The sequence below is a fragment of the Homo sapiens genome, chromosome 2 (assembly GCF_000001405.40).
Source record: "Homo sapiens chromosome 2, GRCh38.p14 Primary Assembly".
Classification (NCBI taxonomy): domain Eukaryota; kingdom Metazoa; phylum Chordata; class Mammalia; order Primates; family Hominidae; genus Homo; species Homo sapiens.
The window spans coordinates 31,243,589-31,266,134 of record NC_000002.12 but is presented as its reverse complement, the minus strand read 5'-3'; the positions used below and the strand labels follow the sequence as shown (position 1 = coordinate 31,266,134).

Genomic DNA, 22,546 nt, shown 5'->3' with positions numbered 1-22,546 from the left:
AGGAGAGCCCTCCATTTATCACGTGCCTCCTATGAGCACCAGAATGTTCACAGCTGATCCCTTTCTACAATGAAAGACCTGTGACCTAGAGGCTCAGCTGATGGACATCACGTGGTAATCGAAGGTATGAGAGAGGAGGGGAATAAAGGCCCACTGGGCTGATGATGGGATTTTTCAGTAGGGGGTAGAAGGGTTGTAGGGGCTGGGGAAGAAAGGGAAATTTAACAAGTATTGGCATGATCTATTTATTTCAATCCCCTTCAATGTCATTCCAGAGAGGAAATCATTACATTTCTCTTTAAGTCAGTTTTGGCTATTGAATCATGTCTCTTGAATGCTGTACCTCTGAGACTGGGTCATGTGGGCCTCTACTTTAATAAGGGTTATACTGTACTTGAAAATCACCGCAAGTGCCTTCACTACATTACCTCGTTCACTCCCCCAGCGCCCTTCTGAGGTAGGAAAATCACATTCTATCCCCACTTAGTGAAAACAAAAACAAAAACCAAACAGGGCACAGGGTACTAAAACCAAATCATAACAGAAGCCAAAGGTCATCCCCAAATTATGGTTCTTAATCAGGATGCTCATCGGAGTCACCTGAGGAGAGTTTTCAAAATACAGTCATGTGCTGCATTACAATGTTTCAGTCAATGAGGGACCACACGTATGACGAGGGTCCCAGAAGACAATAAGGGAGCTGGGAAATTCCTGTTGCCTGGTGACATTGTAGCTACTGTACACAACACAACGCATTATGTGTTTGTGGTGATGCTGGTGTAAACAAACCTACTGTGCTGCCAGTGGTATAAAAATCTAGCACACACATTTCCATAGAGTACATAATACCGGATAATGATAACGGCTATGTTACTGGTTTATGTAAATATTTACTATACTGTACTTTTTATTGTTATTTTAGGGTGTATTCTTTCTACTTATTTAAAAAAAATGTTAACAGTAAAACAACCTCAGGCAGGCCCTTCAGGAGGAATTCCAGAAGAAGGCATTGTTATTACAGGAGATGACACCTCCATGTGTATTACTATCTCTCAAGACCTTCCAGTGGGACAAGATGTGGAGGTGAAGACAGCGAAACTGATGATGCTGACCCTGTGTAGGCCTAGACTAGCATGGGTGTTTGCATCTTAGTTTTTAGCACACACAAAAATAAAAAAGTAAAAAATAAATTTTTTTAAATAGAAAAAACTTATAGAATAAGGATATAAAGAAAATATTTGTGTATAGATATACAATGTACATTTTAAGCTAATTGTTACAACAAGAGTCAAAAACTTTGTAGGCTAGGCGCGGTGGCTCATGCCTGTAATCCCAGCACTTTGGGAGGCTGAGGCAGGCGGATCACGAGGTCAAGAGATCGAGACCATCCTGGCCAACATGGTGAAAACCCCGTCTCTACTAAAATTACAAAAAAAATTTAGCTGGGCATGGTGGCACATGCCTGTGGTCCCAGCTACTCGGGAGGCTGAGGAGAATCGCTTGAACCCAGAGTTGGAGGTTGCAGTGAGCCGAGATCGCGCCACTGCACTCTAGCCTAGCAACAGAGTGAGACTCTGTATCAAAAAAAAAAAAAAAAAAAAGTCTGTAAAGTAGAAATGTTAATTTATTATTGAAGAAAGAAAATGTTTCTAAAAATAAATATAGTGTAGCCTAAGTGTACAGTGTTTCTAAAGAAGTCTACAGCAGTGTACAGTGATGTCCTAGGCCTTCACACTCACTCACCACTCACTCACTGGCCCACCCAAAGCAACTTCCAGTTCTGCAAGCTCCATTCATGGTAAGTGCCCTGTACAAGTATACCACTGTTTATCTTTCATACTGTATTTTTACTGTACCATTTCTATGTTTAGATACACAAATACATGGTGTTACAATTGCCTACAGCCTTCAGTACAGTCACATGCTAGGTCTGTGGCCTAGAAGCAATAGGTCATCATACCATATAGTCCAGGTGTGTGGTAGGCCCTACCATGCAGGTTTGTGTATATACATTCTATGGTGTTCACACACAATGACAAAATCACCTAACAATGCATTACTGAGGATGTGTCCCTGTCATTAGCAAGGCATGACTGTCCCCGAGGGTTTGACACAGCAGGCACAGGCAGGCAGGTGGGCATGCCGATTTTGAAAGAGCTCCTCTTGCCTTCACATGACAACCCACACCACACCATAAAAGAAATATCTTCCACTTTGCAGGTCTCTGCAATTTTGAAAGTTTTCGAGTCTAGAACACCAACTTCTCCATGGCCTGTAGAGGGTGATAGGGTGACAGCTTTCTGCTCCTACCCTGGCTCTGGCCACCTAACTCTCCAGAAGCTGGGAAGAGGCCAGTACACAGGGTGAAGCACAGCTAGTCTGCTGCAGAAAAATGCAAAAAACACCCACAGCTTTCTAGGGCAAGTGTTAGCCTGGGTACTTCTCACCTCCTTCCTAGGGTGAGGCTGAGCCAGGAAGGCCTTAGGGCTGAAGGACTCCTGGAGGAGGAGCAGACAGGGCCCTATCTCCCACCCCTCAGAGCATCACGTCCCAAGGTCCTCCCACCTCTCATTCCTCCTGTCCCTCCCAGCCTGCTCACATCTAGGTATGTTTGGTGGGCTCCCATGCAGGGGTCCCAGTATCAACTAGGGGGCATGGTGGGTGCTCCCATTACCCTACGATGGACACCCACACAGGACAGCTGTTTACATTGTGGATTCAGCATATTGAACTGCAGAACAGAATATTGAACTGGCAAACAAATGAGGTGAGAATCTTTGTTTTGAAAGAATTCCTCACATTAAAACTGGGGTCTTAGGGTCCCTTTCAAATGTTATCTTCCCAAATGTTTGCTTACAAATCATTAAATTCTTAACAAAAGCAGAAGCGAAGAGCTGAAGTGCTCCAAGTCAAGGACCGGGAAACCCGCAAAACAAAAGCAATGCTGGTTAGTGAATGGCTCGTGGTAGGTGGTTATATGAGTGAATGGACACATGAACAAATTCCAAATACTTGGAATGTATATTTTTTTCTTTTTCTTCTGCCGGATAGGAAACTAAAAATGCCTATTGAGGACTATAGTGATGTTATGAAAAACCTAGATTTAAACTGAGAAACTGATTCCCAAGCTAAAGATCAAAACAAGAGCAACAGCATCTATTAAGTGCTTCTGTGGCTGCTATTTTTTGATTTTTCTAATTCCCTAATTTTTTTATTTTTTGAGATGGAGTCTTTCTCTGTTGCCCAGGCTAAAGTGCAGTGGCACAATCTTGGCTCACTGCAACCTCTGACTCCTGGGTTCAAGTGATTCTCATGCCTCAGCCTCCCGAGTAGCTGGGATTACAGGTGCTTGCCACCATGCCCAGTTAATTTTTTTGTAGTTTTATTACAAGTTTTGCCATGTTGGCCAGGCTGGTCTCGAACTCCTGGCCTCAGGTGATCTGCCCGCCTCGGCTTCCCAAACTGCTGGGATTACAGGCGTGAGCCACTGTGCCTGGCCTCTAATTTCCTAATTCTAGAATCATAAGAAGTTGCAAACATTGTACAGTGGGTGGGTGCTTTGTGCTCAGCACCCACCTCCCTCTGCCCACCTAATGATTTGCTACTGTGTACTAAGGGCATAGTCTGTCTGGCTTTGTGCTAAGGGCTTTGCAAAGATTATCTCACTGATGCTCACAACACCTGTATAAGGCGTGATTTTGTAGCTTCAGTTTACAGATGAGGAAATGGAGGCTCAGAGGATCCAGTCAATGTTGTGGTTTCCTGCTTGGACCTTTGGGCCCAGCTCCTGGCTCTTCTTCTTGTGGCCTATGTGAATGCTACACTCAGAAAATGCTGAGACCTCTGTTTCTTCTGTAAAAAGGCAGATGAAAAATGCCTCCCTCTGATGAGTGCTTTGGGGAAAACCGTAAGAAACCATGTGTGATGGCCACTGGCCCAAGATAGGCACCTGCAATAGGACCCAAAGATGACGAGTTCCCGTGTGCACTTCTGCCTCCCCGAAGCTCGTGTCCCAGATTGCTCACAAGGGGGACCTCAGATGTAAACTCGAGCACTTTAAGAGCCTGGAGAACCTTGGTCAGGTGACCCATCCCACTGCACCAGAGATGGTGGGGACGTCAAGCCTGTGGTGGCTGTGACTAGAGAAGGTCATTAACTGGAGGTGTCAGCCCCCCAGCATCATCTAACACACCTGCACCACTGGGGCGGTGGGCTCCGTGTTTCTCCCCAGGCCCAGACATGGCCCCTGTTGGGCCAGTGATGGCCCAGCTAGGAGTGTAGATCCAGGGCCACCTCCTTGCCTGCAGATTCTGGGCGGGGTTCTCCCTGGGGGGCTCCAAGAGTGGCCTCCTCCATACTCAGGCTGCTCAGCCAGCTCTCGGGACACTGTCCCTTGTCTTAGAGACCCCAGCCCTCGCTACCTGCATCCTCTTCAGATTGGGGAAGTCCCCAGGTGAGATCTGGTGCTCCCGCTCGATCCGGCCATAGATCTCGGCCAGGTTGTTGACCAGCTCCTTCTTCTTGTTGTCCTTCCCGAACACCGAGGGCATCTCCTTCTTCAGAGAGCTGATGATGTAGGCGTGGACCTGACAAACAGGGCCAGAGAGAAGCCTTCACATCAAGACCCTGGACGGTCCCTTCCTTCTAGGATGGCTCTTGCATCATTCCTTCCCCTACATCCCTCCCGCCTCCTCCTGCTCCTACTTTTGAAATAATTTCTACCTCTACCCTCATGGCTCCATGTTGCTTGCAGGGCTGGGCTGTTTTTCTATGTTATGTGGGCAAGGTGAGGTTGTGGGGAGCTATGGTCAAGGCAGGGTGAGGTGGTCATGTTGCTGCTGCTGAAGGCAATACCAGCAGCTGACAGTTGCTGAGCATCTCTGAAGGTGCCAGACACTGTGATGAGGGCTTTGAGACTCTTTATTTCACTTTATCCTCCAACAACCCCTTCATTTTACAGATGCAAACAGAGGCACAGAGAGACTAAAGGCCTTGCCAAGGCTGGGAATCCCACAGACAGTAAACAATGGAGTCAGTTCCAATCTGGCCATCTGACCTGAGAGCTTGTAACCATGGCTCCCGCACTGTCCTGCCCCTTGGTGTCACACACATGATGCACTGGCTGTTGGAGGCAGCAACCCTCAGCTCGTGCAGCTGACCCCAAACTCTGGGCCCCTGCCCAAGCTGCCCACCTCCCAGGGGGCTGCCTCACCTTGGCCAGCCTGGCCCTTTTGATGAGGTCGTTGAGCTTGCGCAGGGCAGCATTTCGGGGCAGACTCTGGATGTCCCTGAATAGGTCCTGTTCCTCAGCCTCAAAGAGCTTCCGGTTGTCAGGGATGAGGAGGGGGTGGGACCAGAAGGAGCCGATGTAGACCCGGATCACCTCTGGGGTGTTCACGATCTTCCCCAAGGACCACATGAGGGCCCCGTACACCCGCATCAGCTGCTGCGTCTCGATCTGGTCAGCTTTGTTCAGCACCACTCGCATCTTGTCCTCGTGGTTCTTGAGGGCTTTGATGACTTCTGAGAACTCATCAGAGATGTCCAGTTTGTGGGCATCGAAGAGCAGAATGATGCGGTCAACCCGCTCGGCAAACCACTCAAGGACAGCTGCAAAGTCATACCCTGCCGGCAGAGGGACAATCAGGGGCTGGGGCCTTTGGGGTATAGGGTAGGGGTTTGGAGAAGCAGTCGGGTGTGGTAGAAATAACACAGTCTTGGGAGTCAGATCTAAGTTTAAATCCTGGCTCCTCCACATTTTAACTGTTTGGACTCCAGCAAATTACTCAATGTCTCATAGAATTTTTTTCGTCTAAAAATACTGTTAAATACTAAAATAATATGAATACCTAGTTAATAGAACTATGAAGATTAAATACTCTTAGAATCCGGCACTTAGTAGGTGCTCAGTAAATGCTAGTTACTTTTTTTTTTGAGACGGAGTCTTGCTCTCTCACCCAGGCTGGAGTGTAGTGGCACTGCCTCTGCTCACTGCAACCTCTGCCTCCTGGGGTCAAGTGATTTTCCTGCCTCAGCCTCCCGAGTAGCTGGGATTACAGGCATGCGCCACCATGCCCGTCTAATTTTTGTGTTTTTAGTAGAGACAGGTTTAACCATGTTAGCCAGGCTGAGTCTTGAACTCCTGACCTCAGGTGATGCGCCTGCCTTGGCCTCCCAAAGTGCTGGGATTATAGGTGTGAGCCACCGCCCCCAGCCAGCCACTGCGCCTGGCCTAGTAACTCTTATTAACGTCATTATTTCCATACCAGCTCCCCTATCCGTGCTTACTGTATTTAGCAGCCCGCTGGAAAAGAAAGTCTGGACACCTAATCTGACACAAAGACCCAGAAATTCTTTCTAAGGTCTGAAAACAATGAAACACTAAAAAGTAGATACTGATGATGGTTCAGACCATGCCTGTCACTGGTCTGGAAGAAATCTGCAATTCTTGTTATAAAAACATCTTGTTCTCACTCAGGCTCTTTCCTTTGTAATCAGCTGCAGCACAAAATTCCCAACTCTTGAAACCACAAGGGGTTTCTTCCTTAGGATGTGACTGGAACTCTGGCCACCCGCATCTTGGTTATCTAGCACTAAGCTGCTTTAGGTCAGACTGGTTACAGGAGCCCCAGAGAAGTTGTTCTGCTCAATCCCAAGTAGCTGTGGATCCAGTAGGAGCTGAAGTAGGAGGGTGGACCAATAGTCTATACATTCACTGACACCCAGAGCCCCAGTAGGTCTTACCTCTGTGTCTCAGGCTCCTCTTACATAAAATAGGAAGACAAGAGATAAGGAAGTGGGGCTCAGAGAAGTCAAGTGATTTGTCGAAGGGCACACAGCCCATGAGCAGCAGCAGTCGCATGAAGATGGAGGTGTTAGGCTTTCCCATTCTGAGTCTGAGCAGGGTTCTCAGCCTCTCCTCCTGCCACTCCCCCGTGGCATACCTCTGGCACCAAGGTAGGAGCCCTTTCTTGGGTACTAAAGTGACCAACCATCCTGGCTCCCCATAGCACAAGGGTTCCAAGGTGACACACACTGGGGACCCAAAGCTCATTGCCACCATCGAATGGGAAACCAAATCATTAGGAAAAAGCCTGCCCTGCCTCACAGAGGGAGGCTAGAGACCAGGCAAGATCATCAGGCAACTGCCTTGTGAGTGAGTCAGACTTAAGAAGCTCTGACTGTCTTTAACAGGGGTCCTGACTTAGCCTCCATCAGAATCCCCCCAGGGCTTCTTAAAACCCAGATGGTTGGACTCTATCCCCAAAGTTTCTGATTCAGTAGGTCTGGCGCAGAGCATTTCTAACAAGCTCCCAGGAGATTCTGATGCTGTTGGTCCAAGGGCCACACTTTGAATACCACTGGCCCATAAAAATAACAATAGCATTCAAAAGGTGTTCAGCACTGACCTAAGTACTTTATAATCATTCATTCCTTTAATCCTCACGATGACTCTGTGTAGGGTCATTAGACACTAATATCAGCCCCACTTCTCTGAGGAGTAACCAGAGATACAAACAGATAAAGGAACTTGTCTAAGGTCACCCAGCTGGTAAGCAATGGGCTGGGACTCAAGTCCAGGAAGGTAGCCCTGGAGTCAGTGCTATGAACCACTGCACCGAGTTGGCTTTCACTTTCAAAGGCTGTCATTTCAGACTAAGTAGCAGGCATCGATGGGGTGGGGGATGAGGATGAATGGAGCCAACGGAGCTAGGTTTAAAAAGCCTTTCCCCCACCCTGTGGCATCTAGTGAACACCCAGTGGGGTACATATTTAGGACGTGTGGAGGCACTGCCACAGGGGGTAGGGGGATGGGATCAGACGGTCGGGAAAACTTGCTGCCCTAAAGCTTCCTGGAGGACCCCTGTAATGTTTCCCTGGTGGCTGTAAGAGAATTCTAACAAACAAAGGAAGGTCAAACCCTCCTTTGGTTACCCGGATGCCAGTACTACTCCATTTTCAGCTCCTCTGTCTTTGGTAAATGAAGTGCTTCCAAGCATTCCCATTGCCATGTGATTTTCTCCAAGATCTGTCAGCTGCTCAATGAATATACAGCTCAACTAACACCTGAGCCTTCTCCCCCTGCTCCTGTGGCGTAGACCTATGAGGCTACGAGGAGCTTAGCCATCAATGGTCCAACTTCCTGATTTACAGATAGGGAAACTGAGGCTCAGGAAGGGGCAGAGCTGGCCCAGTATCTCCAGGTGCCATCCTGAGGATAGTTCCTGATGGGTGCGTCATCGAGGGCCTGGTGTGAACTAGATTTTGCCTTCTCTTTTGAACACAGGTGTCCTGTCTCGGCTCAGAGACAAGGCCCAGGAAAGTGCTTCAGAGGCTGCTCTGCCCAGTGGGCAGGGGCATCATCAACCCTCCCTCGGAGATGTTCACGCAAACTCTAGGAGTTAAGTGACTCAGCCAATACCACCCATGAGACACGACCCCTAGCCTCCAACTCGAAGTTCAGTGCTTGCTGCAGACGGTAAGATGTTCATGTCATTATCTCATGTCACCCTCACGACACGCTCTGAGGCAGGCAGCGCGAGGAGTATCGTTCTCACTTCCAGGGGAGGAAACTGAGGTTCAGAGAGGAGAGAGTCAAACAGTTGGCAAGTCGTGAGGCCAGATGACCCAGCTGTCAGCCATCCAGCCGTTCTGCACCTGGCCGCTCCCTGCCTCCCTCCCTCCCTCCCTGGCACGCAGGCACAGCCAGCTCCTCACTGGAGCCCGGGAAGCCTAAGCATTCCCACTTCAGGTGAAGCCTGCAGCCCGCACTACTCCCCTCCTTCCTACATCCCTCTGTCCATCCTTCCCTTCCCAGGGATGGCTCCAGCCTATTTTTATCTTCCCTTCAGCACAGCGCATGGCAAGGCTGCTGTCACCTCCCAAAGGCAGTCCCTCAGAGCTGTGGGTAGGGAGGGGCCAGAGGGCTAAGAAAATCCCCAACCCCCACCTCTGCAAACAGCTCACAGCAGGAGGGCAGTAGGGACCCTCCACAACTCCCTGCCAGGCCTCTGGCCTTCTGCTGCTCCTTATTCCCCAATCTGGATTTTAGCTGTGCCAGTGCAGGCCACAGGAGGGGCTGCTGGGAGGACCAAGACTGGGCTGCAGCTCCCTCTCACCTGTCCAGCAAATCTCAGCCCCAATATATTGGCTCAATGGCTCAGAACAGGCTAAGGCAGCCAGGGCAGCCAGTGTTGAGTCCTATGCTGACAAGGTAATGGAGGTTTATAGAGGGTGAGAGAAAGGCCCAAGGCCATGCAATGCTGGGGGTCAGAGCCAAGACCTGAACTCCAAACTCAACTCTTGCACTGTAGCCACGCCTCCACCAGGCTGGGGAAAACAAAGACACCAGAGAAGCTGCAGAGAAGGGAAGAGGCTCTGTCCCTGCAACTTGCTGCAATCCCTGATGACACCAGCGATGTAAGAGAAGGCTGTGTCTGCAAAGGCTGAGGGGCAGCAATATGTCCATGCTGCCAGAACAGGATAGACCCCTGCCTATCCCTGTCCCTGCCCTCAGTGGTCTTGTAGCATCATGCACGCTCCTGTTCTGCTCTTCAGCTCACTGAAATCATCCTCGGTGCACTGGGAGCTGGACAGGGCAGGGGCAGCACCTCACCCTTCTGGGCTTCCCCTGCACCCAGCACGGTGTGTGGCACACAGCAGGTGCACTATCAGTATTTGCTGAACGGAAGTGAAACGTGGAAAACGTGGAAACCTGTTCCACGTTTGGCATCTGGGAGACAGTAAATGAGTAATCTCTGGGCCTCAGTTTTATGGTTGAGGAATCAGTGACTCAGTCGTAGGGTTATTGTGAGGATCTAAACAAATCAGAGGATGCAGGTGAAACTGCTGAGCTGTGACCTTGGCTGTTCTCATTGCCCTGCTGTTTTTTGTAAAGCACTCCTTTTAAGCCCTAGTTTCTATGAGATGGGATGTGCTCTGTAGGAGTCACCAGAGGAGCACTGGCCTGGGTGAGTCCACCTCTCGTTTCCGCTTAGCCACTAACTTACTGTGTGTCCTTGGGCAAGAATCTCCCCTCTCTAGTCCTCTGTCTCTTTGCCTGTCAAATCAGGGGATTGAGCTGGACAACCTCCGAGCTTCCTTTCTCGGTTCACAATTCTCTGCATCTGAGACCAGAGGTGTGAGGGTGGGGAGTACAACAGGATGGATGGAGATTAGCTACAAGGGACCCTTTGCAGGCACAGCAAGAGAGAGAGGCTGCAGGCTGCTGTCTTACAGGCCTCGGGGATGCCTGTGTGAAGTCTGCCTCTGCCTGAGGACAGGCCAAGGGCTTCTGGGAACTCTTTCCGTGATTTTATAAGCAGAGGCCTCCTATTTGCTCTGGAAAGCTGCTATCCAATTACAGACTCAGTAATGCCAGAAGCTTCCAGCCAGGTGTGGCTGTGAAGACCATGACCATCAAGCAATGACTCCATGGGTTGCTCTGAAGCTCGACTTCCCTGCTCCTGGCTAACCCCGAGGCTGTGTCATCTGTAGGGTGGATATTTAGTTGTTCACTTGGCCTGGACTTAGGTGCAGATCTAGGAATGGCGGTATCTCAAAGGTATGGACTGGACCCAGTAAGAAAAAGGGTATGGTATAGGATTAGCTTTCTCATTTATTTGGCAAATCTGAACCTCAATTTTCTCAGCTGCAAAATAGGGATAACAAATGACTGAATGAGGGGTCTGTGGTAGAGCTGAATGAGGACTCTGTGGTAGAGCTGTGGCAACAAGATCTGACAGCACAGACTGCCTCAGCAGCTGCGGTGAGTGCTATGGCCAGTGACAGGCCCCCTTCCCCTCTCTGGTCCCAGCGATGGCTCTGAGACCCACAACGGTAGCTCTTGGGCACCTGCGGCAGCCCAAGTGTTCATGAAATATGGACTAGTGAGTCGGGGGAGATTCAAGCCCCAAGAGACAGAGCAGAGAAGCTGCCCTTCCTGGACTTCATAGCACAAGTCTGCTGGCTCTAAGAGGTCTAGTCAGCCAGCTCCGGGCCTGGAGACTGGGCAGCCTGCAGGGATCTATGGTCCCCTCCAACCGGAGGCTCCAGATGACTGGAAAGAAAGCACTTTGAAGTAATGCCAGGCAAGAGGAAATCAATCAGACAAACACAGTAAGGAAAGCCACCCCTTCCTCACCCGCCGGCTTCCATCATGGCCTGGCATGCAGTGCCTGGGCCCTCACAGGGCAGCATACTTCTTCGGGTTTCCAGCCACGTGACCTCATTCGCTCTTCATAATTCTCTGTATCCCAGGAGGTAAGTAGGGCATACACATCTTACAGGACAGGGAATCTGGACACAAAGAGATTAAGGGGCTTGCCCAAGCTCACACAGCCAGGTGGTGGCAAACTCAGGCCTGGAACCCAGCTCCTTGACTTGCAGCCCACATTCTCTTTCTATAACAGCTCACAGCCATGTGAGCCTGAAGCTCAGAGGCTGAGCCCTCAAACCAGGCACTTACTTGCGGTGGGTACATACAAAACCCCATCCCTCCCCAAAAAAATCTCCGTCAAGATTTAAAGGCATTTGAGCAAAAGAGGAATAACAAGGCATCAATTTCCAAAATGTGGGAAGAGTTTGGCTGACAACGGGGAAGAAATGCCACATTAGATGCTTCCCAGAAGTAACGGCAAAGAGCGGCCCGAGCAGATGGTTGGCAAGGCCTTTTGAAGGGCGTCAGGACTCGGCTGCTCTGCCCAGGCACAGGAGCGCCCACACAGGCGTGCCTGTACCGGCACGTAGTCTGGGAAGACCCAGAGGCCTTTAAGTGCAGGCTCTGCTCCAATGAGGGTGCCCTGGATGGGCTAGGAATGTGAGGCTGCAAGGATCAGCCCAGACCTGCCAAGGTCTGAGCCCTAAAGACCCCTAGAGGAAACCTGGAGATGAGAGGTTTGCCCTCATTCCTACCCCCTGTGCTCTTCCGGGGCAGGTGATGATAATGTGCTGAGAAGCCGTGGACCAGGAATAGGAAGACCCGAGTTCCCTAGATGTGTGATCCGGGCAAATTTTCAACCTGCTCTGGCCTTACTGAGCTCACCTGTGCAGAAAGGGGCCTGTGGGGAGGAGCTTCAAGCTGTGCAGTCTGTGATGTGAGCACAAAGCCCCGCCCTGCTTTCCTAAGGTGGCGCCTATGGGGATTTCTAGCTGGGAAGCAGCCAGGAAATGTGGTTCCTAAGCTCAGGACACTCAGCCTTCTGGAGCCCTCCCACTCCTGCTGCATCCTCACTTCTTCCCAGTAATGAGCCAGGCTGGGGCACATCCTGCCACTTCCAGGAACCACCTCCCTGTCTTCCTCCCCTGCCCACCCCAATGCATCTGCATCCAGAGACAAGTGCTGGCCCAGGACCTCCCAGAATCAGCTTCCCGGGCACCCCAGCCTTCTTCCCACAAGACACACCCCGCCCCAGGCCCAGTAGAGGGTCCACACCCTGAGCAAGGACGACCCTTTGCCGCCCTAGTCCAGCCTGGGGCCCGAGTGCTCCTTCCTGTGAAGCCTGAGGTCTTGGAGCCCTGGGAAGCAGCTCACTTTGCAGAACAGGCAGTCTAATATGGCCAGTAGGGGCCTCTGTGCCGACTTGATAACCATGCCCCTTTTTATCTGGTGAGACACAGCCCTGCGCCAGGTATGAGGCTCAGTGAGCAGAAGGTGGGCTGAGTTTCAGGTTCTAGATGCCCTCGTGTAGGACATAGTTGGCAGGACTATCCCAGGGAGGAAGGGTGTCCGGTCCTTGCCTGGGCTGGCTGGAGTAAGGCGAGAAGCACCCAGTCTGCTCTGTGGCCAAACCCAGAGCTCTTGGAGCCCTAGGCAAGAAGCCATGAGAAAGCAAGTTTTGTTCTATGCACACATTTGTGTGTGTGTGTGTGTGTGTGTGTGTGTGTGTGGGAGGGGGTTGCTGTGGGGAAGAGGGGAGTTGTGTATATGCAGGATATGTGTGAGGAGTGTGTATGCATGTGTGGGTGTGGGAGTGGGTGTGTGCGTAAAAGGAGGTATGGGTGGGGGAGGGTGGGGGAGGTGTGCGTCAGTTTAAACTGGAGCTATGTGTTCTAAGGCCAATTGTGAGAAAGAAAGGGGTTGGGCTCTGCACCCTGGAAACTTTACTCGTTTGGGGTACCACAGATAACTGAGGGTGTCTGACGCCCTTCCCCCAACTGTCCTGGTCTCCTCAGGGTGCTGAGGTCAGCACCGCCCCAGGCGCCAGCAGCCCAGTTCTAGCTCTTGTTTTTAACGCAGGCTGCTTTTGCCAGCAGCTGCATTTACAGTCTGGACTCAGGAAAGCAGAAAACAAACTGGCCTGCAAAGCCACTCCTGGGGCCATCATTTCTCCCAGAGGTAGGGGGACCTGGTGCTTAGTCAATGTGGGATGGGAGGCATTAGGAAGTGCAGGCAAGAACACCAAGGGCCTAATTTGCTTAAGGCAGTCACTGGGGTCCAAAGACAAAGGCAGGAGAGAGGTAGTGAAACCCCGTCTCTACTAAAAATACAAAAATTAGCTGGGTGTGGTGGCGCATGCCTGTCGTCCCAGCTACTCAGGAGGCTGAGGCAGGAGAATCGCTTGAACTCAGGAGGCAGAGGTTGCAGTGAGCCGAGATTACGCCATTGCAGTCCAGCTTGGTGACAGAGCGAGACTCCGTCTCAAAACAACAACAACAGCAACAACAACAACAACAACAAAAACAGAAATAGGAAAAGAATAGAATAGGATAGGAACTGAGGAAGGCAGGAGTCCCTGGGAACCAGCCTGCCACATACAGGTGCACAGGCTGTGCACTGCACAACTACAAGGGAAACTATTCACACAGATTACTCTGGGATTGTATGATAGGTGGTGCCAACTGACAGGGAGGGAGGGAGGAAGGTAGCTCATGGTGATCCAGACCCAGGGCTATGGCCCGTGTTTTCATATGGTCTATAGACCTCACAAGACGGCTGTGTGGTACATATCATTACCCCTTGTTACACATGGGGACACTGAAAATGTGACCTGTTGAGACACACACAGGTTCTAAAGCCCAGAACTCTGAATTCCTAGTACAGTGTCCTTGGAAACCGCAGAGGCTGGAGTCCTCTCTGGACCCGCTGGTCAGGCTACACTGGCCTTGCAGGTGCACATGTGACGTCCCCCAGGGAGTTCACACTGGGAAGGGGTGGCTTTCCCCAGCCTTCCTGGAGGAGTCCTGAGCTGCCTGAGTGAAACAGCAAATCCCCTTCAGGCTTAAACGCAGGGTAAACCCCAGATGAACCACTTGGGGTTGGGAATAGGTGGGTTAGGAGAAAGGGGGTGCTCCGGCAAACAAACCAAAGCAAGACAGAAAAACCACCCGTGCTGTCCCTCCACAGGGCCCTTAACAGGGAGCCAGGTGCTTACAGCGTGCGTGCTGGCTGGAAGGAGGGAGGCTCAGACATCCCTATTTTCCCAGGCCAGGGGTTCCAGCTCCCTATCACCTCCACCATACAGCCCAGAGATAGGGAGCCAGGAGATCAAGTCTTCCAAGACCCCCTTCCCAGGTGACACTGTGATGTCCCAGAATTCACAGGCCACCAATTACAGGAACTGCTAACACAGTTTCCCAAGTCCCTCCTGACTCAGTTGCTTCATTTCCCCTCTTCTTCCCAGGTCTCACCTCCTAAGCAAAGCAAGAGGTGGTAAGGAGGAAGGGCAGGGCTTTCCTCTCAGGATGTTCAGCCTCCCCACTCCCTCCCACCTGCTACAGGATGAGGACTCCAGGCTGTGTCTTCCCTGGAGGGCTGACTCGGGTTAACCTGGCCCTTGAGCAGGCTGCTGACCTGGAGGGCCTCTCTCACTGTCTTCCCTTTCCACTCCCAGCCATGGCAGCTCACACACAGGCATAGTGTAGCCTCAAAGAGCCGAGCCTGGCCCTGCACCACACACCTGCCCTCATCAGAAGAGAGCTGCTTTCTGCAGAGAGGACACCAAGGCAGCTCACAGGAGCACTGGACAGAAGCCCAGGTCTGGCACTAGTGGCCTGCACCTGGGCCAAGGGCCTGCACCACTTGGGCCTCGTCAATACACAACTGCAGGAGCACTGGCCTGTCACACCATGAGGCTGTGACCTCTCCTCTGAGGGGTCTGGGGTGAGCAGTGCTGGCCTGGGCAGGCCATGCTCTTGCAGAAAGAGCAAAGGTTTCTGGGCCCCACTATTGTGGCACAGACATGGGCAGGGCAGATCTGTGTCCCAGCCAGAGCCACAGAGCACAGAGGGTGAAGGCACATGCAGACAGTCACCTACCTAGGTCCATTCAGGCAAGAGTTCTAGCTGCTTCCCAGAGAACCCCAGCAGTTCAAAGCCCTTCCTTACCCATAGGCTGACTTCTGAGTGCTGATGTGGCTCCAGCCCTGGCAACTAGCTCCAATATTGGGGTGGGCATGGCGTCATCTGATTTTCTTGCCAGAGATACAACACATGGCACAGAGAGGGTAGTGGGCTATACAGGACACTCAGCAAACTGTGCCAGGACAGGCTGGGGGTGGGGGCCCAGAGCAGTTGTTTTTAGCTTTTGATAGCATCTGCCTAGCATTTTAGAGTTAGAAAAAAGAAAACAGGCTGGGTGCGGTGGTTCCCGCCTGTAATCCCCAACACTTTGGGAGGCCAAGGTAGGTGGATTACGAGGTCAGGAGATCGAGACCATTCTGGCCAACATGGTAAAACTCCGTCTCTACTAAAAATACAAAAAATTAGCTGGGTGTGGTGGTGCACGCCTGTAATCCCAGCTACTTGGGAGGCTGAGGCAGGAGAATCGCTTGAACCCGGGAGGCAGAGGTTGCGGTGAGCTGAGATCGTGCCACTGCACTCCAGCCTGGCAACAGACTGAGACTCTGTCTCAAAAAAAAAAAAAAAAAGAAAACAACGATGATGATGATGATCATCTATAATCCCTCATGGTTACTAGGTACTTGCTATGTGCCAACCAGAAAAGGCTTTTTATCTTAAGCATTTCTTTTAATCTTCAAACAACTCTGTAAGATGGATAATACTATTCCCACCCCACCCGCCCCCACCGCCCCACACCATTTTTCAGACAAAGTAACTGAAATAAAGAAACCTGCTGAGGGTCACTGTGCTATGAAGTGGCAGAGGCAGGCTTAGAACCCTGCCAGCCTGACTCCAGAGTTCTGTCTTCTAACCACCATACCAGGCAACCTCCTTTAATGAGCAATTATCCTGTATTTATCTGTAGTGAACAGTTTTTGAAGTGCTTTCACTACCTGGTTCCCTCCTCTTATGACCCAGGGCACTGATACCATTGAGCTGAATTTCTCTGTATGCATTTGGCTGCCCTGCAGAGCTGCAAGCTCCCCAGGAACTTAAGAAGCAAGCCAGGATCAGGGCCATGGAAGGTGCCCCTTGTAGCATGAATAAACCCAACGAGGTAAGACTGATATTGATGTCTTCATTTTACAGATGAGAAGACTGAGGCCAGCTATCTCCTGAGCTACGGTGGACCTGAATTCCCCTCTCCCGACCCCTGCCAACCCCGGCCTAGGACTGCCCCAGGTAAAATGATCCCACACAGCACAGGAGAAGTGCCGGCTCACCAAGGGACAGCATGGCCCTGGGTGCTTCTCTTCTGGTATGTAAGAGACTGAACGTGCCAGAACCATGGAGCCCACAGCCAACACCCCTCAGGCAGGTTGCTTACCCCGGCTGATCCTCTGCTTCTCCCCAGAGAGGATCCCTGGTGTGTCGATGACGCTGATGCTCTCCAGCACAGGGTTAGGTAGCTGGGCACACACGAACCTGCATGGGCAGAGGTAACCTGGGTGAGTACTCGCCCACCTTTCATGACCTAGCCGCATGACTCCAACCACCTGTCTTGTCTCTCTCAGGTGAGCTGCAGGTGCATCCTGAAGGGTTTAGTTCACCATGGACTTGCCCAGTTCAGGGTGTGGCTGACAGCTGACCCGGGGCTGAACCCCAGTCCTCTTGCCTCTCCCCACATCCAGTGTTAAGAGCGCCCTGCACCCGGGTGTGTTTGGTAAAATGCTGTGTGACCAGCAAGCAGGGCTACTCCATAGCGACATTGGGTCTTCATGTGTGATCAAAGCCTGGGTTTAATTCTTATGGCCCCAAGTCCTTAGTTTGTCCTTGGTCAGCTACCTCCTTGCCTTGAGTTACTCCACTTAGCTTGGCCCTCTCTAGGAACCTTAGCTTCTTTAGATAGCCAATGAGAAGACCCCCTGGCTCCTCTTCAAATGAGCCCCTAGGGACTAGCGGGGCAGGAGGGACTTCAAGGGTCTGTCCCAAACCATCACTGCAGAGTCAGGGTCTGGGGAGCCTCCTTCTGATTTGATCCTTGTGGGCCAAGTGGCTGTGCTTCTCTGTTTATGTCCTCATTTGTAAATGGGGTATCATTCAACAGTAACTGAGGCCCTACTCTGTGCAAGATAACAGGCTGGGTGCTATGGCCAGAGGATCACAAGCCTGGCTGGCTTAAAATGGAGACTCCCAGGAGCCAGGCCAGAATCCCAGCCCCAGCCCCAGAAGTGGGTCTCACTCAGGCTCTATGCCTTGAGGAAGCTCCCTGGATGATTGTGAGGCAGCCATGGTTCATGCTTGCCAACTCCTGCTGTTGGGGACACTAAGATATCCAAACCTCGATCCCTGTCTCCAAGGAGCACAGCCTGGTGCAGGACAGGAGGCCAGGAGGCCTGTACATGGACAAGCAGAATACACAGTGCAATGGGACCAGCACCCTGAGAGAAGTCAGATGTAGTGTTTGGAAGATTCAAGGCAGAGAGATGGCTTCCTGGAGGCAGAGGGAGGGCTTCCTGGAGGAGGAGGCACTGGAGCTGGCCTCGAAGAATGGGAACCACCCAGGAACATTTATTTGGGCATTTAAAGGCCAAATATCTCTATTAGGAAAGCAGTCAAGTGTTATTTAAGAGAAGCGAGGGAAGGGGAGCAGACAAGGGGTGTGAAATAGGACCACTCAGCAGCATAGAGACAGGAACCTGGAAATCTAAGGTGCAGCACCTTGTGCGGACAAATCTAAGGTGCAGCACCTTGTGTGGACTGCAGTGAAGCTGGTGGCACATGCAAGAGGGATGCAACATCATTCCCTGTTGTCGTTTCAATGGACATGCCTGGCAGACTCCCAGCCAACCTAAACATCCACTACTTCAGCGGCTGCGTGCTCCTGGAGAAAATCTCAGAACCTCACGATTTCATAGGTGCCTGCAGTAAGCCACATTCTTTCATCATTCTTCTCTGGTGATGCATATTTTCTCCTCTTTCTCTCTTCAGTATTTTCTGCTGGGAATGTCCTCTTTTTTTTACACTGTTGGTGCCACTTCACTCATCATTTAATGTCAGGGTCAAATGCCAACTTTCCCACAAAGGCCTCGTCAGGCCTGCTCTTCCTCTTGCCTGGGTTATCACTGGCTCTTTCCAAGCCTGTGCCCACTGGACTGGATCAGCCTTATATTCCCCCACAGAATAGAGCCCAAGGCCGCTAGGGGCCTGGTGTCTGTTGAAATAAAACACGAATTCTATCCCTTAGTAAGATACCTGGGAAGGAGGCAGGAGACACAGCCCCTCCTGTGGCCACATTTCTTTCCTTGTCAATGTCTGCTCTCCAGGCCAGACACCAAGTCACTCTGGAAATGCAGGATCTTGCCTCAGTCACCTTCATTTTATTCATTGAAATCACAGATTTAGAGAGAGATTCCTGACCCCTTAATAGTATCACCTTTTATGTGCATGTTATTTGTTTCACAACACCTTCCTATATATTTTCTTTATAATTTTTTTTTTTGTAAAATATATGCACATGGTAAAAAACAAACAAACAAAAAACAAAACAAAACAAAAAACCAAAACATGGTCCAGCAAGGCATAAAATGAAATAGGAAGGTGTTCCTCTTCTCTATCCTTCTGCCCTGCTCAATTCCACTTCCTAAATGGAACCACTGTAGGCCGGTTACAGGCTCACACCTGTAAACCCAGCACTTTGGGAGGCCAAGGTGGGCGGATCACTTGAGGCCAGGAGTTTGTGACCAGCCTGGCCAACATGGTGAAACCCTGTCTCTACTAAAAATACAAAAATTAGCCAGGCGTGGTGGCGCATGCCTGTAACCCCAGCTATTCAGGAGGCTGAGGCGGGAAAATTGCCTGAACCCAGGAGATGGAGGCTAAAGTGAGCTGAGATCATGCCACTGCACTTCAGCCTGGGCGACAGAGCAAGACCTCGTCTCAAAAAAAAAAAAAAGGTAACCACTGTAAAGATTTATATATTTTTTCCTTTCTCTCTCAGATCTTCTTCACACAACACACAACATTTGCAGGAATGGATTATTTACATTTTATCACTTTCTAGATGAAGATAATAATATTCAAAGAGGTGTCTTTACTCAAAGTAAACCACCCCCACCCAACCTCACCCACACCACCTGGTTTCAATACATTTAACAATGGAGTTAATGAGACTTGCTGGGTTTGATTAATGACATAAGGGCGCTCAGCTCTCAGGAATGCACCCAGCATATGATGGCAATCACTTAAATTCTGTTATCATAATAGGCTATATGCTATTACATATAATACAATACACTATATCATTATAAGCACAATTATCCCAAAATGGCATTAACCACTAAACCTGTACTCTTCTCTTGTGATGAGCCCAGTTTCCTCTTGTCTCCCCCTGGCTTTTCCCTCCTCTCCCCTGGGGTCCAGCTCCTCCTCTCTGCCTTCAGATAGGACGATGCTCCTCAGCTGACTCACTAACACTGCAAACTCAATGTGTCCAAAATCAAATTCCTTGCCTACCCCCTTGCTCAGATATCCCTGCTTCTCTTCAGCTCCAGCGACTCATTCTCCTGAATCATGCTCATCCCACCCCCTCCATTTATGCATTTTAGCATTTTGGGCATCCAGGACCTCCTTACTCAGTTCCAGGTATAAGAGACACCCCTGGACTCCAGGACACCTGCCCCACTGCACCTTACCACCACGACCTCCTCATTCTTCCTAAAGGGACCTCAGCTTCATTCCCAACATAAACCAAGCCCCATGCCTGGGCCTCTCTCTCTGCCAGGCCAAGTTCCCAAGATTTCTCAGCGTGACCCTTCCTCTGCTCCCTACTCTGGGCGCACACCTTGGCCACTCACAGTTCCACATTTCATTCATGTCGTGGTCTCCCTGTCCCTGTCTTAGACTGTTATTGACTCCATGCCACTACAAGAAAGGTCAGAGACAAGTTCATAGGTTTATAAAAAATATTATTTGGGGCCAGGCACGGTGGCTCACGCCTGTAATCCCAGCACTTTGGGAGGCTGAGGCAGGTCAATCACCTGAGGTTGGGAGTTCGAGACCAGCCTGACAAACATGGAGAAACCCTGTCTCTACTAAAAAAAAAAAAAAAAAAAAAAAAACACAAAATTAGTCGGGCGTGGTGGCACATGCCTGTAATCCCAGCTACTCGGGAGGCTGAGGCAGGAGAATTGCTTGAACCTGGGAGGCAGAGTTTGCGATGAGCTGAGATCGCGCCATTGCACTCCAGCTTGGGCAACAAGAGTGAAACTCCATCTCATCAAAAAAAAAAAAAAAAAAAAAATATATATATATATATATATATATATTTGGGATAAGAGACATCGAGAATCCTTTGGGCAATGAGCCTCAACTTCTACAATGAAAAATGGCCACAGCAGATGCCTATTCCATTCACTAAACAATTAAGTAATCAAATGAAATAAGACATAGTAACACTATCACTAACTAACCTGTTGGTTACTATGTGCCAGGCACGAAGTGTTTTCTGTTCACTATCCCACTTATTTCTCCTTTAACTCCTATTATCCTATTTACAGATGGGAAAAATTAGAAACAAGTAAGTTTTGTAACTTGTTCAAGAGCCACAGTATTAGGCAGGATTTGAACCCAGGTCTATCTGAAGGCAAAGCCCATATTCATTACCTCTACTCTAAAAACCTCCAATTAGAAAAAGTAGTTTTAAAATTATTTTCAAAGTATTTACCATGCACATGTGAAACTGGATTTATCAGTGTAATAAGTGTGAGCAGGGGATCAGCCTGCATTCTGGTTAAACAGAATAATTAATGTGAAGGCCCAGATTAGTTTGCCAAGCATTCCTAGAGCTTTCTCCATTCACATCATCATGATGATCTTGGTATCTGCAAGGCTGAACTTGTCCCGGGGGAAGAGAGGTGACCTGTGCAAGGTCATTCAATTTAGTAGAAGAGTTAGTGCTCAAACCCAAGGCTTCCCTCTTAATTCCAGGGTTCTTCCCACCAGGTAGAAACAATATCCGTGAATAGAAAAGAACCTTCGTCTGCCTCCTTCCAGTTGGATGCAAATCCCAGCCACTGAATATTTAGGCAAATACTGGGAACTATATGGAGCATCCTCCTCCACTTTTACTAGGGGTAGGTGCAGGGTAGGGGAATGTGACCTGAGTCATTGTTGTATCCTTCCCTGCTCCCTGATAAGGAGGAATCAACCCAGCATTTGCAGCTGCTGCATCTCACAACTGACTCAGTTACACTCTCAGCAAGCAAGGGACAATCTAGGTATGGAAAGATTGACAGGAGACTCTAGGCACCAAGCATCCCAAGACCCTGCCTACTGTTCTTTCACTCCCCATACCCCAAGAAGAAAAGAGAGCACCTGAAAGTGTTGTGTTCCCTCCACACTCACCTGTTCAAGAAGGCGTTGCCAAAGGCGTTGAGTTTCCTGAAGGGTTTCTTGGGATCCACCACCAGGGCGTTCCCAGGGATGATCCCCTCCATGTCTCCCTGCATCACCGCAATGAAGGAGTCTGTGGTGGGCTCAGGCCCAATCCTCATGCCTGGGAAGTCCTGTTCCAGCAGGTACCTAGCAGGAAGAAGCACAGTCCTAATGCAGGCGTTCTGCGCAAAGATCAACACGGCATGTCTACTATAAGGCAGACAACATGCGAGTCAGAGGGGAGGGCAGGGCCACCGCAGCAAGATCTCATGGCCGGGAGAAATGCCTGCTGGATAACAAGTCCAAAGAACTTTGTAGAGGAGGTGGAATTTCAGCTGAACTTAAAATATTCTGTTTTTTGGTCCTTATCTTTTTCCCTTTCTCAATTGGTTGGGGGCTGGTGGGCGGGGGTAGAAGGAGCAAGGTTTGGGCTCAAAAACAAAGCATGGATTGAAATGATTCTTACACAGAGTATTACAGACTCCATAACTGAAGGTAACCTGCTGAAGTACCCACACAAAGGCATGGTTAGAACTAAACCTTCCGTAGACTCTGCTGGGTTTTCATAGGTCTTTATTTAACCGGTTAGTTCTTTAATATAAAAATAGCTCATATATGATACAAAATACAAACAATATAAAAGGTACACTATGAAAAATGAATCTCTGGCCAGGCGCGGTGGCTCACGCCTATAATCCCAGCACTTTGGGAGGCCAAGGTGGGCAGATCACAAGGTCAGGAGTTCAAGACCAGCCTGGCCAACATGGTGAAACCTGTCTCTACTAAAAATACAAAAATTAGCTGGGCATGGTGGCAGGTGCCTGTAATCCCA

The 22,546-nt window shown here is 50.0% G+C and overlaps 1 protein-coding gene and 1 long non-coding RNA gene across 3 annotated transcripts in view, besides 5 other annotated features; one reads left to right on the top strand and one right to left on the bottom strand.

Annotated features, from left to right (window-relative positions):
• Positions 1-22,546, bottom strand: part of EHD3 (EH domain containing 3) — a 35,300-nt gene that overhangs the window by 3,317 nt on the left and 9,437 nt on the right. Inside the window, exons 2-5 of one of the 2 annotated variants that reach the window (NM_014600.3) lie at positions 21,685-21,861; positions 16,667-16,764; positions 5,213-5,625; positions 4,422-4,586 (exon numbers count right to left, since the gene is read on the bottom strand). In NM_014600.3, the coding sequence (NP_055415.1) occupies positions 4,422-4,586; positions 5,213-5,625; positions 16,667-16,764; positions 21,685-21,861 (853 nt within the window). Of the gene's footprint in view, positions 1-4,421; positions 4,587-5,212; positions 5,626-11,143; positions 11,219-16,666; positions 16,765-21,684; positions 21,862-22,546 lie in introns of those variants that run through there. The other variant, XM_011532806.3, reaches the window with a different exon arrangement.
• LOC124905983 (uncharacterized) lies at positions 195-21,685 on the top strand. The gene is made up of 4 exons (XR_007086270.1): positions 195-2,767; positions 8,288-8,479; positions 16,429-16,787; positions 21,283-21,685. It is a non-coding gene; the product is annotated as an uncharacterized LOC124905983 (long non-coding RNA).
• Positions 8,966-9,015: an enhancer, noted in NCBI's record as "active region_15552". NCBI's record gives its function as "activates an Ori minimal core promoter by ATAC-STARR-seq in GM12878 lymphoblastoid cells {active_cell/tissue: GM12878}" and the evidence as "EXISTENCE:reporter gene assay evidence [ECO:0000049][PMID:35858748]".
• Positions 9,101-9,928: an enhancer, noted in NCBI's record as "H3K27ac-H3K4me1 hESC enhancer chr2:31479073-31479900 (GRCh37/hg19 assembly coordinates)". NCBI's record gives its function as "activates a minimal SCP1, AML or CMV promoter by ChIP-STARR-seq in naive H9 embryonic stem cells {active_cell/tissue: H9 hESC(naive)}" and the evidence as "EXISTENCE:reporter gene assay evidence [ECO:0000049][PMID:30033119]".
• Positions 12,880-12,959: an enhancer, noted in NCBI's record as "active region_15551". NCBI's record gives its function as "activates an Ori minimal core promoter by ATAC-STARR-seq in GM12878 lymphoblastoid cells {active_cell/tissue: GM12878}" and the evidence as "EXISTENCE:reporter gene assay evidence [ECO:0000049][PMID:35858748]".
• Positions 13,240-13,289: an enhancer, noted in NCBI's record as "active region_15550". NCBI's record gives its function as "activates an Ori minimal core promoter by ATAC-STARR-seq in GM12878 lymphoblastoid cells {active_cell/tissue: GM12878}" and the evidence as "EXISTENCE:reporter gene assay evidence [ECO:0000049][PMID:35858748]".
• Positions 13,330-13,409: an enhancer, noted in NCBI's record as "active region_15549". NCBI's record gives its function as "activates an Ori minimal core promoter by ATAC-STARR-seq in GM12878 lymphoblastoid cells {active_cell/tissue: GM12878}" and the evidence as "EXISTENCE:reporter gene assay evidence [ECO:0000049][PMID:35858748]".